This window comes from Homo sapiens, chromosome 4 (assembly GCF_000001405.40).
Source record: "Homo sapiens chromosome 4, GRCh38.p14 Primary Assembly".
In the NCBI taxonomy this organism is placed as follows: Eukaryota; Metazoa; Chordata; class Mammalia; order Primates; family Hominidae; genus Homo; species Homo sapiens.
The window spans coordinates 173896642-173913429 of record NC_000004.12 but is presented as its reverse complement, the minus strand read 5'-3'; the positions used below and the strand labels follow the sequence as shown (position 1 = coordinate 173913429).

Sequence of the window (16788 nt, the reverse complement as noted above, 5' to 3'; positions counted from 1 at the left end):
AACAGAGTGAGACTCTATCTCAAAAAAAAAAAAGTTTCTGATGAGATCAGTGATATTATTAAGTGTAATTTTTTGACATTGTATGATAAAATGTTAGCATTTAGAAGAGCTACATAACTTGATTCAAAGCACAAGACAGACAAATTGATTTTAGAATACAAAATATTCATTGATATCATTACAGATTCCACATTGCAGCTAATCTTCATTAAACTACCACGTGGTGAATTTTAATGTAGTATCCAAGAAGCATACTGACACCTTCTCCATTGTCCTACTATGTATCTGTGTAAGGCCAGATTTTCTTCATATACATTAACCAAAGCAACATATGGCAACAGACTGAATGAAGAGGCAGGTATGAGAATCCAGCTCTCTTTTATTAAGCATAACATTAAGGAGATTTGAAAATATGTACAACAGTGCCATTCTTATCACTCATTTATTTTTACTTTGGAAAATACAGTTTTTAAAATAAAAATATGTTATTTATGTGTAACAAATTTATTATGGCTAATTTTAAAATAATAAATACTTATTTTAATAATTGCTGAATTATGAATTCTCATATGGTAAGTATTGATATATATGTATATAACCCAAATAAAGCAGACCGCTTTGGGATTCCACTTTCCTTCTTTCCTTTTCCATGTCATGTCTACCACATCCTTCCCATCAGCATTTAAATATGTTCAAGTTCTAAAATACTCCTCATCCCACTTCTCCTCAACACAGCTTGTCATCTCCTCTTCAAAACCAAACATTCTTCTTTCTTGGCTTCAGTTAACATTGATAACTCATCATCCTCTATTCTGTTTTTGAATTGTGAATTCACACAGGGTCCTGAATTCGGGCCATTCAGGCCCCTTCTTGTCTCATTATGTCTTTCCTCTGTCAATCATTTCACCTGCTTTTATGCCTGTATAAAATCTCATCAATATTTATGTCTCTAATGTATTTCATTTTATGCAGGAACATGATCTTTTTCTCCTCTATTTTTCATGTTGCTATAAACATTTAGTTGAAAGCAACTGCTGAAAAATTCCATTTTCTTGGAGGCCCTTTGAGCACATTAGATAACATTAGATGGGGACAGTGGTTTAGATCCAAAGTTCTGCCAGTTGTGTTTCATCCTGGCATGTTTGCAATGGCTGATCAAGGGTACATGAAAGAGTTTGGAAAGGGCAGGCTCTTCCAATTTATATAAAAGGCTTAAGTTGCTGCTAGTGGAAGTGAACTCTGTAAGTGAACTAAAACAGTCTACTACAAAGATCTATACTTCCCTTAGAGAAATTTATAAGCTTTCATTATCAGTAGCATAAATCACTCAAACAACCACATCAACTAAACCAAATTTTGTGTAAATCATATAAGGGGCCCAATGGCTGGAATAATTCTAGAGCAATTTAACTCATTAGAGCTGTTTATCTTATACCAAAATTTTCCTCAATCTTGCTTTTTATAAATGATCATTTCTTTGTTGTCAGGTTTCCTGGGACTCTGTTGCATCAAATTCTACTGCTAGGCATCAATTTTAAAGTATTTCATCAGTTGGACCTACCAAATATCAAGTCAGGATTTGGCCATCTCTGCTCTTGCCATTCCACCTCTCACGACTCTATCCTCAAAGTAAGGAAAACCTCATTTTCAAATTCCAACTGCTACAGTTATTCACCTCTTATGTATGTGAGCTTTCATTAAAATGGTTTAGACTCTTAATGCTTGTTCTTTAAAGGGTGTTTAGTTTTCTGTAAGTACTATCTTTTAAAAAAAATCTAGTTGACACAAATCATCCCAGTAAGGTAAGTCTTGATTGCTGAATCTCTGAATATACCAAGCAAGCTCAGAAAAACAATGCCAGTAAATTATTTATTCTCTGTGAGAGTTGCTAAAATATAGGAGTTATAAGGAGCATGATTTTATTTTAAAGATAGGAGACATGTCTGGGGAACATTTGGCACATACACACACACATATATATACATAGACAGAGATCTCAGTGCAAGACCCCACCACACCATATATATATATATGCATATATGTGTGTGTGTGTGTGTGTACATACATATGTGGATCTCTGTCTCTCTCAATATATATACACACATACATACATATATATGGTTATATATATATACATATATATATAGTGGTGTTTTTTATATATACATATATAATTATAAGGGGATGGTCTCTCATTGAGACAGGAACTCACTCTGTTGCCCAGGCTGGAATGCAGTGGTGCAATTGTAACTCACTGCAACCTCAAACTTCTGGGCTCAAGCGATCCTTCTGCCTCGGCCTCCCAAAGTGCTGGGATTACTGGTATGAGCCACTGTGACCAGTCACTTGGCGTATTTCGTAAGCTATTTGAAAACCACAGTGTGAGAAGGAAAAGAGGAACATAATTTTTAAAGAGACTTCTAAGTGAAAAAATATTGCCTCTGTGCTTTAAAATGCACCATTTTATTTTACCTTCTCAGAATCACTGTGAGGTAGGTATCTTTTTGCTCTTTTAGCAAATAAGACAATGAAACTGAAAGGTTAAGTAACATACCTAATATTACATATTACATTTGAAGTCAATAAGAATGATAATTTTGAAATATTTTCCAATGCCCTTTCTCTGTCTTTAATGTACCTGTTCTACCAATAAGGATAAACCCAAAACTTATTGTCCTAAGAAGGAAAAGGGTTGGTATAGTTCAGATTCTAGAAAAAAAGAGGCCCTAGTTCAGCTTTGATTTCCAAGGTGACTTTTTTTAAGTCCATGATATTTGCTCATTTTATTTCCCCAAAACATTTCTATCCTCCTATATTCTCCATAATTTTCAATGGCTTCTGCCTTACACCATCTAACCTGGACATTTGGTGGTCACCCTCAACACTCTACCCTTTCCATCACCTTCCAGGTTCAGTGGTTACCGAATCTGTTGATTTCACTTTCAAAAAATAGTATATATGTACTTCAGTTCTTCCTCTGTGTTCCAATTCTAGCATCCTAAATCAGAGTTTCATGATCGCTAAACTGGCTGCTAACACATTCTCCTACGCTGTCCTTGTCTTCATTGTGTAATGCTCCATCTCCCCGATCATCCTCTTTACCATACTGAGAATAATCTGAAAAACAAAACTGATGTTGTCCTGCACCCTCTAATTAAACTTAGTTAATTGTCAAGTTGTCCAAAGTATAAGGTCCAGATTATTTTGGATGGAAATAAAACACCTTTACGATCTGGTGGCTGCCTCTCTCTCATTGCACTTTCCTTCTTCCTGTGCACTGCAAAGTCACACCAAATTATCAAGAGGTACAAGAATTTACCCTAATCTTTCTCAACTACATGCACACATTACTTCTTTTGTTCAGAATGGCTCTAATCATCTGGGAAACTCCTAGCTTAAATGTCCTTTACCCTTAGATGTTTCCTGGACTCTACTACGTGCCCTCTCTCCATTTCCCCTTCTAGAATTCAGTCCTTCCTCTTCTATCTCCTATAGAATTATAAACGCCTCTTTTTGTAATTAAGTTCATCTCTTCAAATGTAAGCTAAAAGGCAGATTCCATGCTCTACTTTTCTTTTTAGCTCCACTTAATAGAAACTTGTCATTTGAATGAAGACAGAAAGGGCAAGAGTGCAGTGGTATAATTTTGAGCCTTTTACAAGCCCACATCTGAGTTCGAGATGCCTATATGATATGAAGGTGAGATACGCAGCACATCACCGAGGTTTGTTTTCAAGAGATTGATTAATGCTGGAGATAGAGATTTAAGAATCATTAGCGGTGATAGCCGAGGCCATGAGTGTGGGGAAAAAATTTAAGAAAAGGGAGCTAAGAATTGGACGCTAAAGAACATTAGTATAAAAGGATTAGAGAAGTCAGAGAAACTTAGAGAGATGACTTAGGAGTGCTCTGAAAAGTTGGAGAGAATGATATTGAGGAAGTCAAGACAGAATAGAGTTTCCAGAAAGAGGAAGTGTCTAATAAAGATAACTGAAAAGTATTCATTAGTGTAGACATTCAGTTTAGTTATAATCTTAGCAGGAATATTATTTTTAAAGGTGGAGACAAAATTTAAGTAGTTGAGAAATAAAGATAAAAATGTTGAAATAGTGAATTGTGATTTTTTTTCATCTAGGATTTGTCGGTCTTAGAATTATAGTCTTGGGTATATGGAGACACAGTGGTGAGAAAAATGTTAACAGTATCTCTTGTTGGGGGAATGCTACTGGCCTTGGGGACAGGACAGGGTTCAGAGTGAGGGACTGGTGCCGAGCATCTCTGACCTTGTCCATTAGTGGCCCTTGTCATTGTGAAAGCCAAAAATTATCCCCATTTTCTAAAGTCTGCACATGGGAGAGTCCAGCTCCTAGTTGAGAAAAGCTAATACCTGGGTTTGCTGTGACAACAGTAGCAGGATGCCGCAGAGAGTTTTGGAATTTTCTTGACTGAAAAGTTTTTTAGAGGTGGAGGTTATCAGAAGCCTTTCTTTCCTAATCAAGACGTATTATTAGTTTACTGTTAGATTACTGAGAGCCTTTATCTTTCAGCCACTGCTCATATCTCACAAAAAAGTTTTGATACTTCTTGCCTGTTTCCAGCAGCACTTTCACATCTGCTTCCTCATAAATATTTACATGTTTTGCTCTTAATACATCTTTAATGCTACTGTTCCTGTTGAAAGAACACCAATACCAATTCATTATTTTTAATGTAACCTTAATCTGTGTGAACATACAGGTGTTCATAAATGTAACTGTGTGTATAAGGTAAAATCTTTTTAAGATTTTTCTTGTGTATTCTTGTGTGAAGACATACTGCAAAATGTATGTAATATATTTTATTATGAACACACACTGCTCATTTCTACCTTTGTACTTTCCTCATGCTGATGTCCTTCATGGAATATCATTTACTTTTCTGCTCTATCCAAGTTCTTCTGGTACTTAGAAGCCCTGCTCAAATCACTCTTCCAAAAGGCTTGCCATAGTGCCCTAGCACTGCTGTAGGAACTTACTACTTCCATAATCTTAGGCAAGCCCTGACCTCGTTGATCTTTGATTTCTGAAACTTTAAATATTATTATCAGCATGGCCTACATCACACTCATTAACTCTGAGGTTCAAACAAATTATTGTATGTAAAAGTAACTATGTAAATATAAAGCCTACTATACACAGTAAAAGCAAATTCATGAATCTTCTATTATTTCATGTCAACAATTTCAATGTATTTTTGCTATTTAGAAATACATTTCTTTTGGAGGTACACTTTGTCTGAGACAGAGTTGTTTTGCCATTACCTTCAAACAGCATGTTTTTTACTGAGTTGTCCAACAGGGTGGCAAAAAGCCGCCATAGATTTCACGATCCATACAATTGCACATGAGAAACTGAGAGCAGACCACCAACTTACTTCATATTGAGACCAAACAGCTCTCAGATGGAAACAATGACTTTTGGTCATTAACAGCCCGATTAAACAGAAACCATTGACCTGGAGGTGAAAGGCTCCAATCCCCCGTTCCCTATTCTTAGATCTGAGTAACCTACCCATGTGCTTTGCTTAATTACTTCACTCATTAATGGAATGCCACACTAAACTGCAGCATGTGTGTGTGAAACACACACACACGCACATGCACACACAGATGCCTGTATCCCACCAGAGCAGAGTTTTATATTTCAATTGTCCACTTTCTCAGCAATTTTTGGAGATAACCTAGGGAATTTGTGGCTTTGCTTAAGCCACACATATCACACAGGGAAATACCTGGAACACTGAAAGGATGTTTAAAAAGATCAGAGGAGATTATATTATAAAATAATATTTATACTACTCACATATACCAACATAGTCCTAAAATGATTAGGGCCATGTTTTGGGTTTCAGAGTGAGGCATTTCTGGCAGGAGTGAGTTATTGCAGCACTAAGAGCTCTGTGGCTGCTGAAAGACTACCAGCCTGTGATAGGTTTGTGAACTGATAGGGTCTTTTTTTACCTTTCTCCAGATGAGTGCTATCAAAAACACAGTAAGAACCTTATTATATTGCTGTATAGCACTAAGGGAAATATATTCACATGAAGTGATTATCTCTGATAGTTCTGGACAATCTAAAGATACATTACATTTTCCTAATAATACTTACCTTCTTTTTGATATGATGTTTTAGAAGAACAGCTTGAGCTTATAATCAGTACAATTTATCACCTTTCCCCAAAGTACCCTGCCGTTGAAATGCCTGACATATATATTGGGTGTCATGGATTTAGCAAAAATTGAATTATAAATTGCCCTGCCAGTTTTTGCCTCTGGAAATAATGAAAAAGTAAGCTAAAGAAATGTTCTCCTAAAGGATTTACTTTTAAAGCAACTACAAAGAAAGAAACAAGCAATATGAATTCCCAAAATATTATGTCTCTGAGCATAGATTATTTAGGCAACTGAGAAAATATAACAATAGCGTTAAGAAAAAGTGTAAATTCCACTTCCAGGAAGCAAAAGCAGTTGTAATATAATATTCATTTTAAACAATGGAAGAATTTGACGTTTAACAATCTCAGGGTCCGTTTAAAACCAAATCAAATGTCATGCAAAATTCCTTTTACAGATTATAATTTATTCTTATAAATGAAATGATGTCCTATTGAGTTAATTACTTACTTTAGCAATTAGCAGTCAAAATAGGTTTATTGTTCAGCGTCACTCGATTCGTTCGAACTTTATTTAATATTCCTATGAACAATTTTATGTGAACTTTTTACTACATGCTCATTGTATAAAACTGTGACATGCAAAAGCTTATAAAGAAAAACTAAATTTTATGTCTCCACTCAAATTTGGGGTAAATTTTTCTAGTATTTTTTCCTCTGCTGTATGATTTCAAACGAAATTATGTGTATACTTTGTATGTACATTTAGATTTGTTTTTCCTACCCAAATATAAGCCATTATATTATATGATATTAAAAATATGTTATTTAATGCCATGTGAAAGTATACTCCTAAAATATTTCTCTATTTTTGAACTGTGTTTTTCTAACTTTTGACAATGAAAATAACAATAAAATGTATTTATACTTAATCTATGCTTCAACTCTGACTATTTGCTTAGAAATAGAATTACTGGCTGAAAAATCTGAAAGTTTTGAAGTTACTTGATAATATTTTCAAGTATCTTTTCATAAAGATTACATCGCCTGTCCTCCGAACAGCAGCCTGTATGACTGCCAGTAACAGAAAGAAAGCCTTATCAAATTTAAATTGTTTAAGCTTTTGTCATTGTGGCAGGTAAAATATTTCATCTTTTTAATTTGAATGTTTAGATAGCAGATTGTAAGTTCTTTTTTTTTATTTGTTTATGGGCTGTTTGAAGTTTTTCTATGAATTGCCTTGATAGTGATCTTTATTTTTATTGAAATGAGTAATTTCTTTAAATTTACTCTTTGTTGAATTGATGTTTTAATAATTTTTTTCTCTTAGTAATATCTTACAATAGATATCATAATTGATTATACAGGGTATTTTTCCATTATATATATTCATAGTTTTTTAAGAACATGGTTTTAATGTTCTGAAAGAGGCTGCATCCTTATTTAAGTATGCTTATTACTTTTTTTATATTTGTAATAACGAGCTTGATCTTTCAAAGTTTTAGTCATTTTAGGATTTATTTCAGTTCCATTCACTGGGAGAGAAGGAAGATCTTACAAATTCACTGATGTTTTCCAGTTGGTAACATTTTATAAAGTCATCTTATTATTTTCCTCTGACATTGGCCTCACTAATGCATTTAACATAGGTAGAAGCATTTTCAATAAGGCTATTTTGGAAACTTACAGAAGCACACAACATATATAATAGGCTTATTACTAGTATTCTGTATACTTTATAGGCTCAGCTGTTCGTAAAGATCTTGGCAGTTTCAAAGAGTCTTTCCCAGTCATGCTAATGTCAAAAAAATTAGAGAGAAGTGGGGGTCCAGTCTGTGTGTGTATTCTCTTGGATCCTAATGCAAAAGGTGGAAGTATGAAATTAGGAATGTAATAATAACAACCCCAAGTAGGAAGAAAAACAAAGTACTGAAAAGTGGTTAAAAACCGCATCCCTTTTTTCTTCTCAGATAAATGTAAAATGCATCTACTGGGATTTGACACTATTCTGTACTTACTTGCTGAGGGGCCATGGGCATATTATTTCACTTTTCTCTGAAACCTAGTTTTTTCATTTATAATATTGGATTTTTTAAAAAATCTACTTTACAAAGTTATTATAACTATTAAAGAAACGTATATAAGGATTCTGACGCTTAGAATAGGTTTTACTGTATATTAGATGTTCAAGAAACGATGGCAACTACTGCCGTAATTCTTCTACTACAATTTCTACTACAACACTACTACTGCTACTATTTATATTTGAATTTCTTAATTTATTTGAAGTGTTGTTCACTTGGCTATCTCGGTAAAAATACTTTAAAATTTGTATAAAATCTTTGAGTTTTATAGTTCTTTTCTAAAATATCTCACTTGATCTTTACACAATCCCTGTAGAATAAGTAGGAGAGGGGTTACTATCTCAGTTTTATAGACATGGAAACTAAGTTTTAGAGGTGATCAGTGGCAGGACTAGACCCCAAATTTTTGTAATTTAATTTAGCCCTGTTTCCATCACCGCTTCATCATCCATCCATTCCATCACTTCCTGAGGAATTCAAAGGAAGCCAAACAAGGTCAATATTAGAATGCAAGACTTTTCTTTCTGTTCTCCAGTATTTTCCTTTACCTCTTTTGCTACCCCACTCATCAAACAAATGCCATTTGAGTTCTAGGAATAACATATGTTCTTCTCGAGGTGAACAATGTAAATGAAATGCATGGAGGTACAACAGCCCTTATGAGAAGTGTTAGTCATTAATGCTGAAGGTTAAATAGGGTCAGCTGCTGCCATGAAATCCAGATGCCTTTGGATAACTAGCTCCTCCCTAAAGCTTATGGTGACATAACCCTATATGTCGTTATATTCAGATTTTGTCAGTGCAAACCTCATTGGCCTGTCTCTGAATCAAGTAGTCCATGTCTATATCACGAATGGCCCAAAGGTAGATTTTTCGATACAATGTTAAGTTCAAATTTCAATTTTTTTTTACTCATTGCCTTTATTGGTGATTTTAAGTAGGCAAAATGACAAAGGCAGGATACTTGGCTATGTTTTTGAGAGTTCAAACTCCTTCCATGGTTGGAGAAATGAGCTTCACAAGGCACAGAAGCTCAACTCCACTTCTAATGCCATCACAGCCTCTTGATCTTCCAGGAGGTAAGATTTCCCTCCAGAGAATTATGAATCAGATATTCAAAGTAACATCTCAGAGACAGTGCAAACCATAAATCTGCTAACTATTTTCTTCTGGGTTTACGTGTGGTATGACAGACAAGGAATTCAGACCTACATAATAAAAGTAGCCAATATATTCTTGCTAATGGTGGACTTGCTGCCACTGGAATTACTGTCCTAAATAAATGCTATAAAAAAAAAGTCTCCTGGACTTCATTTTATTCTGGCTGACTTCCTGGCTTTCCAAAATAGTGATAGAAGTCAAGACCCAAAAGGGAGACTAAAGCCAAAAAAGAAGGAGGATACATGTCACACAGACATAACACAGATCAGCTAAACCCACCTTCACTTAACAAACACTAGATAGTGAAGGCAGAAAATAGAACCATCAAACGTTATAGAATAAACTCAGGCAATTTCAAACAAACATGTGGACATGGGAAGTGCAGTGTATATGTTCATACTATTTAATTCTTTCCTTTAAACTGTAAATCTGCAAACAAATAACTACAGAAATTGCTTTTGATCTCAACAAATCTAGTCTAACTTGCACTTGGGGTCTAAGGCTGTGACACTGAATGTAAATGTGTTTTCTCTTCCCTTTCAGACCTGGGCTTGGCTGGGAACAAGAGATTTAAATCAGACTCTTTTAGGTTTTCCTAATAAGACTGCTGCAAATAAGGTAAACCACAACAAAAATTGAAAAACAATACTAAACTTCGCAGAAAATAATGTCTCAACCTACGTGCAATCTTCATAGCTTTGTCTTACTTGCTGCTTATGATTTGAAATTATCCCTTTCTAATGGTCAAGTGCCATGTCAGTGCAAGAGTTCTGGGGCTGCTTCCATTTATGAGGCTAGAATTTTTTTATCTCTAGCCTCTCAAATTGGTTAAAATGTATTTATTTGGCTCACAGGGCACTGTTTTACTTAAGGGAGACAATATTTTAAATACAGAAATAGCAAAAGTAATTCTAACTGTTGAATGCCTTTTAGTTTGGTAAAATGTATGGCAAAGTCTCATGTGTATAAATTTATATGGAATAAAGATACTAATGTCTCCAAAAGTAATATGAAATGTGGGAATATAAAGCTGTTTAGTGAGGCTGTCTGTTAAGTCTGTATCAGAGGGTTTCAGAGCGTCAGTTTCTTTGTTTGTTTGTTTCATGCAAACAGACATCTTGCAGAGTGCATCAGTTTTGATTCAGACCCTACAATTTCTGTTATTCCCTTTCTGCTCTTATCCTCCTTCTTGGTCTCCACACCCCCACCATTCCTCTCCCCACACCTTTAAATGCTGGCATTCTTTCAAATTCGGTCCATATTCTAATCTTTCTCAAATGTATCTGATCATACAAAGCAACTAGAGTGCTTATTAAAAACAGATTGAGATGGGCATGGTAATGGGCACCTGTAGTCCCAGATATTTGGGAAGTTGAGGCAGAAAGGTCACTTGAGCCCAGAAGTTTGAGACTGTAGCACATTATGATCGTGCCTGTGAATAACCACTGTACTCCAGCCTAAGCAACGTAACGAGATACCGGTCACTAAACAAAACGAAACAATACAGATTGCCACTTCTCAACCCTGGAAACTTTTACTCAGTAGGTCTCAGGTAGAGCTTAGGAATGTATATTTTAAATAATTGCCCAGGGATCCCTACGATCCAACAAGTTTGAAAGCACTGCACGAGGCCATCTTACTCATCCCTCTGGTTTTAGAAATCATCTACATTCTGGGGATGTCTAAATTTACAGATCCTATCCAGACAGCTCTTGTATGTCTATTTGACAACATTGCTTGGATGTCTTATATGCATCCTAAATTTAACATGTCTAAAACTTATCTGAGGATTATCTGCCCCATATTTACTCCATTTCAGTCTTTCTTTTCTCTACAAATGACACTAGAATCCACCTGGTTACCTAAAAACCTTATAGCAATCATTGACACCTCTTTCATGCTTAACTCCTCCGTTTAAACCATCACCAAGATCTGTGAACCAGACGTCCGAAACATATGGCACCCATCCACTCTCATCTTTCACATTTTCACTGCCGCTGCCCTTGGAAATAAGTCAACAGTTTTCTTGCCTGAAGTACTGTGATAGCCCCTTGATTTTTCTCCCCCATTTTACTCTTGCTGCTTTCCTACTCATTCTCCACGCAGCAGCCAGATGATCTTCTTAAAATGCAACTTGGATCATTCCTTGCTTAAGAATCTTTAATGAAGTTTCTCAGTACTTAGGATACATTCCAGTTCTTATCCCATGTTGGATGAATTACCTCATTTACCTCTCCAGCCACAGCCTGTGCTACACTTCTACTCACCACACTCTGGGCTGTTTCTCTCCAACCAATCGTTAATAATCGTCTAGTCTTAGTCTCACTTAAATGTCAATGCCATAGAGAAGCCTTCCCTGACCACCATTCCCTCAAACTAAATTACCATGTCTCTCAGAATCTCTTGTACCTTTTTTTCCTTCTTAATGCTTGTATGTTTGTTGTTTGTTCTTTTGGTAATGTGTTTAATGACTGTTTATCCCGCTAAACTATATACCCTTGAAATCAGGATTCATTCGTATTGTACTAAAGACTTACCTACCAGTGTTTGGTAGGTTTGGTGCATACTAAGTTCTCAGTAAATGCTTTTTGAATAAATAAGTGATTGTTAGGTATTAAAGACACTTAAGGGAACAAAAAATAATAATAATCCCTGCTTATAGGGAGTTAACATTCAATGAGGGAGCTATTATTACCTGGGGTATTAATATGTTTGTGACAAAGAAAATGGAAGGGATTTTTTGTTTTGTTTTGTTTTGTTTGAGACAGAATTTTGCTCTTGTTGCCCAAGCTGGAGTTCAATGGCACAATCTCTGCTCCCTGCAGCCTCCGCCTCCTGGGTTCAAGCGATTCTCCTGCCTCAACCTCCCGGGTAGCTGGGATTACAGGCATGCGCCACCATGCTCAGCTCATTTTTTGTATTTTTGTATTTTTAGTAGAAATAGTTTAGTTTCACCATGTTAGCCAGGCTGGTCTTGAACTCCTGACCTCAGGTGATCCGCCTGCCTCATCCTCCCAAAGTGCTGGGATTACAGGCATGAGCCACTGCACCCAGCTGAAAATGGAAATTTTTATTACACACACACAAAAAAACTTGAACAACATGAAAACACATTTTATAACATTCATTTGTTCTTTATAATGTGGTAATTACTGATCATGTCAGCATCTGTACCATTTTGATTATTTTAAAACTTGTAAATGAATAGAAATTTCTAAATAATTTGTGTTTAGAAACTATTTAGAAGAGATTTTAATTTTATCCCCAACTACTCCAGTTGGATGATTGTTCGTAACCTCAAGAGATATTCTTCAAATGTGCAGGATTGAGCCCTAGCTGAAGGCCTCATCCTTCCATGCCCTTTGCTTGTCCACCCATCAACAAGCCAGGATGAGGAGAAGCAAAGACAGCAGCATTTACCCACAGAACCCTTTGTTGGCAGAAGCAAAAATTGATAGTGGAACACATGAGGGCAGTTCCACAAGATCCGTCCATGAAGAGTCGGATTTATCAAGAAAAATATTATTCTTTCGTGAACAAGAAAGAAAACAAGACAATTTAAAAACATCTAGATTAAAGATGAGCATGTCAATTTCAGGTGAGTCATGAGCTAATGGAACTAAGTTAGCAGAATTCTCAAAAAACTTACCACTTATTCATATTTTACTAAAACAATGCCAGAAATGTTTTACAAAAATTATAGAAAAAGGAGAAAGCCTGTATTCTAAACCCTAGAGTGTGTTTAGTGTGAACTCCAGGTCTATAGCAATGTAAATCATACAACTGTAGCCAACTAATACCTCATGGGAGAAAGAAACCCAAAATGTCATTTTAAATCAGAAACCAGAGTTGGGTGTGGTGGCGTGCACCTGTAGTTCCAGCTACTGTGGAGGCTGAGGCAGGAAGATTGCTTGAGCCTGGGAGGTTGAGGCTGCAGTGAGCCATGAGTGCGCCAGTGCACTCCAGCCTGGGCAGCAGAGCAAGACCCCTGTCTCCAAAATAAATAAATAAATAAATAAATAAATAAATAAATAAATAAATAAAATTAAAATTATTGGAAACTAGTAAGTATGGTCCATTTTAATCTGAAATTTTCCTTACACTCTAAAGGAAAACATTGTTCAGTTTTTCATTGCCTTGGAAGCACAGGATCCTGCATAAAAATGTCAGCTACAGATTTCTAAGCAAATGTTCCTTTTACAATATGGCACACATCATAATTCCTTTGCCCTGGTCCTCCCTGAAAAAGAGGGGGAGTATAACCCACTAACGAGCAGCCAAGCACTCTTTTCTTCAAAATGAGGAAAGAAGGAAGGAAGGAAGGAAGGAAGGAAGGAAGGAAGGAAGGAAGGAAGGAAGGGAAGAAAGAAAGAGAGGGAAGAAAGGAAGGAAGGAAGGAAAGAAAGAAAGAGAGAAGGAAGGAAAGAAGGAAGGAAGGAGAAAAGGAAAGAAAGAAAGAGAGAGAGAAAGGGAGAAAGGAAGACAACCACAACAAAACAAGTTATCCAGAGCAAAGGTCATGCCCTGAATTAATCATTTCTATTTCCTCTAGTCTTTTAAAATATCTCTAGATGCTTCCTTTTTGCAAATAATTAAAGGTCAGTTAGTAAAATCACTGTAAAAGTATTTTCCTCAAATAAACTAATGCAATTTGGCCCCTAACATCCAAACACTGGTTAACTTTTACTGTTCATATTATCTCATGATTAGTAAAAGCAAGTCTGAAATTCTAACGCTTAGTCCTATTTTGTTTTAATGGAGAAATTCTCCTTGCACGAAGAAAGTTCTTTAAAAAGAATTCACTCTTCTGAAAGCCCATATATATCTGGTTCTTTCCTTTTCCTCAGAACTTATCTATTCTCACACCAAGGTATAATTTGCCAATTTCCAGACAGGAGTTAATTTTTCTAAAAATGTTATAAGCATTTGAAAAAAAAAAAAAGTTCAGATCCTTAACCAAGCAGCATGAACAACATCACTGCCATAAACAGTCATTTAAGGGCTTTTAGTTAACTGCAAAAGCCACAGGGAAACTTTCATCTCTGTTCTGTTCCTTTGTCCCCATATTGACTGAAAAAGGAAATATATCTTAACATAATATTATTATGCCTTCCACTTATGATAGTGGCAACTTTAAGATAAGTGTGCATAATTATTTTGTCCCAGGAAGGCCTTTCTAATCCAGCAGATCCTACAGAGGGGATATTCTTTCATCAGCTCTTACATTTGCCTCAGCTGTACACTAGGAAATTAGAAAGTGTTGCATCAATCATTCCTACCATTCAGCTAGCCAAGAGGAAAATATTCCCAGATAATTAAAAGTGCAACTGAGGCCTGTGGGTTGCTAAAACACATAAACAACAACAAACAAGAGTACCATTCATAATTTGTTATTAATAATATTAGTATTTTTTCTCTTTCTCTGAAGGATTCTTCATAAAACTAACCTTCATGATTTCTCTTATGACCCCACATCTTTCTTTGATGAACCAGAAGCCCAAAAACAAACTAGTTAGATGTGGGCAAGAATAATGCCCTTCTATGAAATTAAAAAATATATATATTGATACTATTCTTTTCCCATCCAGAATAAAGAATGAGAATACACTTAACAAAGGACACCTCAGAGGTATGGCTAAACTCCCAAGTGAAGTTAATAATTAAAGGAAACAAAAAATGTGTGATTCCATTTGAGTTCAACTCTGCTGAAGACACAGTTGACATTAAATGTAGCCATTTTAACAGCTAGTTACCAGGCATATTTGTCCTATGTCCAAGAACAAATGTGCTACATTTTTTTTTCAATCTCTGTATTACTCTAATTATTCTTACCAATAAAGAATGATGATTGGAAGGTGGCATGTGTAGGCAACACCAGAGCCACCTAATTTTTCAGATTTTAAATATTGTCAAACCTATGAAGCAGAACTTTTATAAATGACATCAAGGTAAAATTTGAAATGCCAATTAGGTGAGCACAATGAATTGTTCCATTTCAGAAAAGAAAATGTAACATTTGACACCTTAATGGTTAAATAAATTTTAATTCACGAAAGAAAACATCCTCAAGTTCCTCTTTAAATGAAGGAAGGAAGGAATGAGGATAAGAGGAGAGTATTTGAGATTTCATGACTGAGAAGGGCTTTGATAGTGTGGCTAACACAAAATGATTACTATATATACCCTTAAATGATATCATCTTAAGGCAATAAAAAAAAATCCCCCAAAAAACAAACAAACAAAAAAGCCTAGAATCAAAACTGTACCAAAAAAGCCTAAAAAAAAAAAAAGCCTAAAATGAAAACTGTGCATGGAACACAATACTAATGTGTTTTAAAACGCGTAATACCCTAGGTAAATGCATCCATGATCAGGTTGATTATCTTTAGAACATCACATTATAGTTGATTTTATTTCTTTTAACTTTTTTTTACAATGAGCATATTTTATAGTGAGAAAACAAAACAATAAGCCTAATTTTCTAATGGGCATTTTTCTTCTCATCAAGAAATTGTTTGTACTGAATACCATAATATGCAATAGCATAATAGTATCATTATAATTATTACATTATCATCACATATGCTCCAGAAATGATATTAAAGTCTTGGGGACCCTGGAAGTGGAAATCATTCATACCAGGTGGAATAATAAGGAAATTCTCATATGAGGGAGAATTTAGAATTGGTTCTAAAGAATGAGAAGAGTACTTACTTTTTGTTTGTAGAAAGGGCATGGTGAGAACACCCCGGTCAAGAGATGTGTTTAAGAAGTGTGATTAATTTGGCATGCTTGGAGAGGGAAGCCAGATGGTCAAAGGTCTTGTAAGCCACCATTGTTATCATCATAATAGCTGACATTTTAAAAAATTCCAAACTATGTATTGGGTGCCATTCTAATACTATAACTTACTTTTCATCTTATCTAATTTTTGACATAACCCTGGGGGGTAGGTACTCATCCACATTTTGCAGATGAGATGCTAAGGCAAATTGAGTAAGTAACTTGCCCAGGATAACATTAAACAGTTCCATTAAATGATACCAGTTTAGTGAGAATATTTTAAGGATCAAATGTATGTACCAGATTCACATTCATTGAACAAGTAGAAGTACTTGTTCATTCTTTATTAGAAGTTTCCTATTGTTGTCTCACCCTACACACCATTTTCAAACTCAAAAGCCCAAAGCTGTTATTGATTATTTTTCCATCACTGACTATTCTTTCTCTCTTGCCATCCATACATTGTCATTTAACTGACAGTTTCCTACATTCGTCCTTGTCTTCTCTTCTTCCCATCCTCACTCAGGTGTAAGTGGCCTCGCAGGAATGAAAGGCTGTGCTGTCTGTATACCACTGCACTGTTGCCTCCCTGGAGAACTTTATGCCTTAC

The 16788-nt window shown here is 35.4% G+C and overlaps 1 long non-coding RNA gene across 1 annotated transcript in view; it reads right to left on the bottom strand.

The window, feature by feature from the left end:
• Nucleotides 1-16157, bottom strand: part of LINC02269 (long intergenic non-protein coding RNA 2269) — a 32253-nt gene extending 16096 nt beyond the window's left edge. The window contains exon 1 of the long non-coding RNA NR_146487.1: nt 16110-16157. This is a non-coding gene — a long non-coding RNA (long intergenic non-protein coding RNA 2269). The remainder of the gene's footprint in view (nt 1-16109) is intronic.
• Nucleotides 16158-16788: the final 631 nt, after the last annotated feature.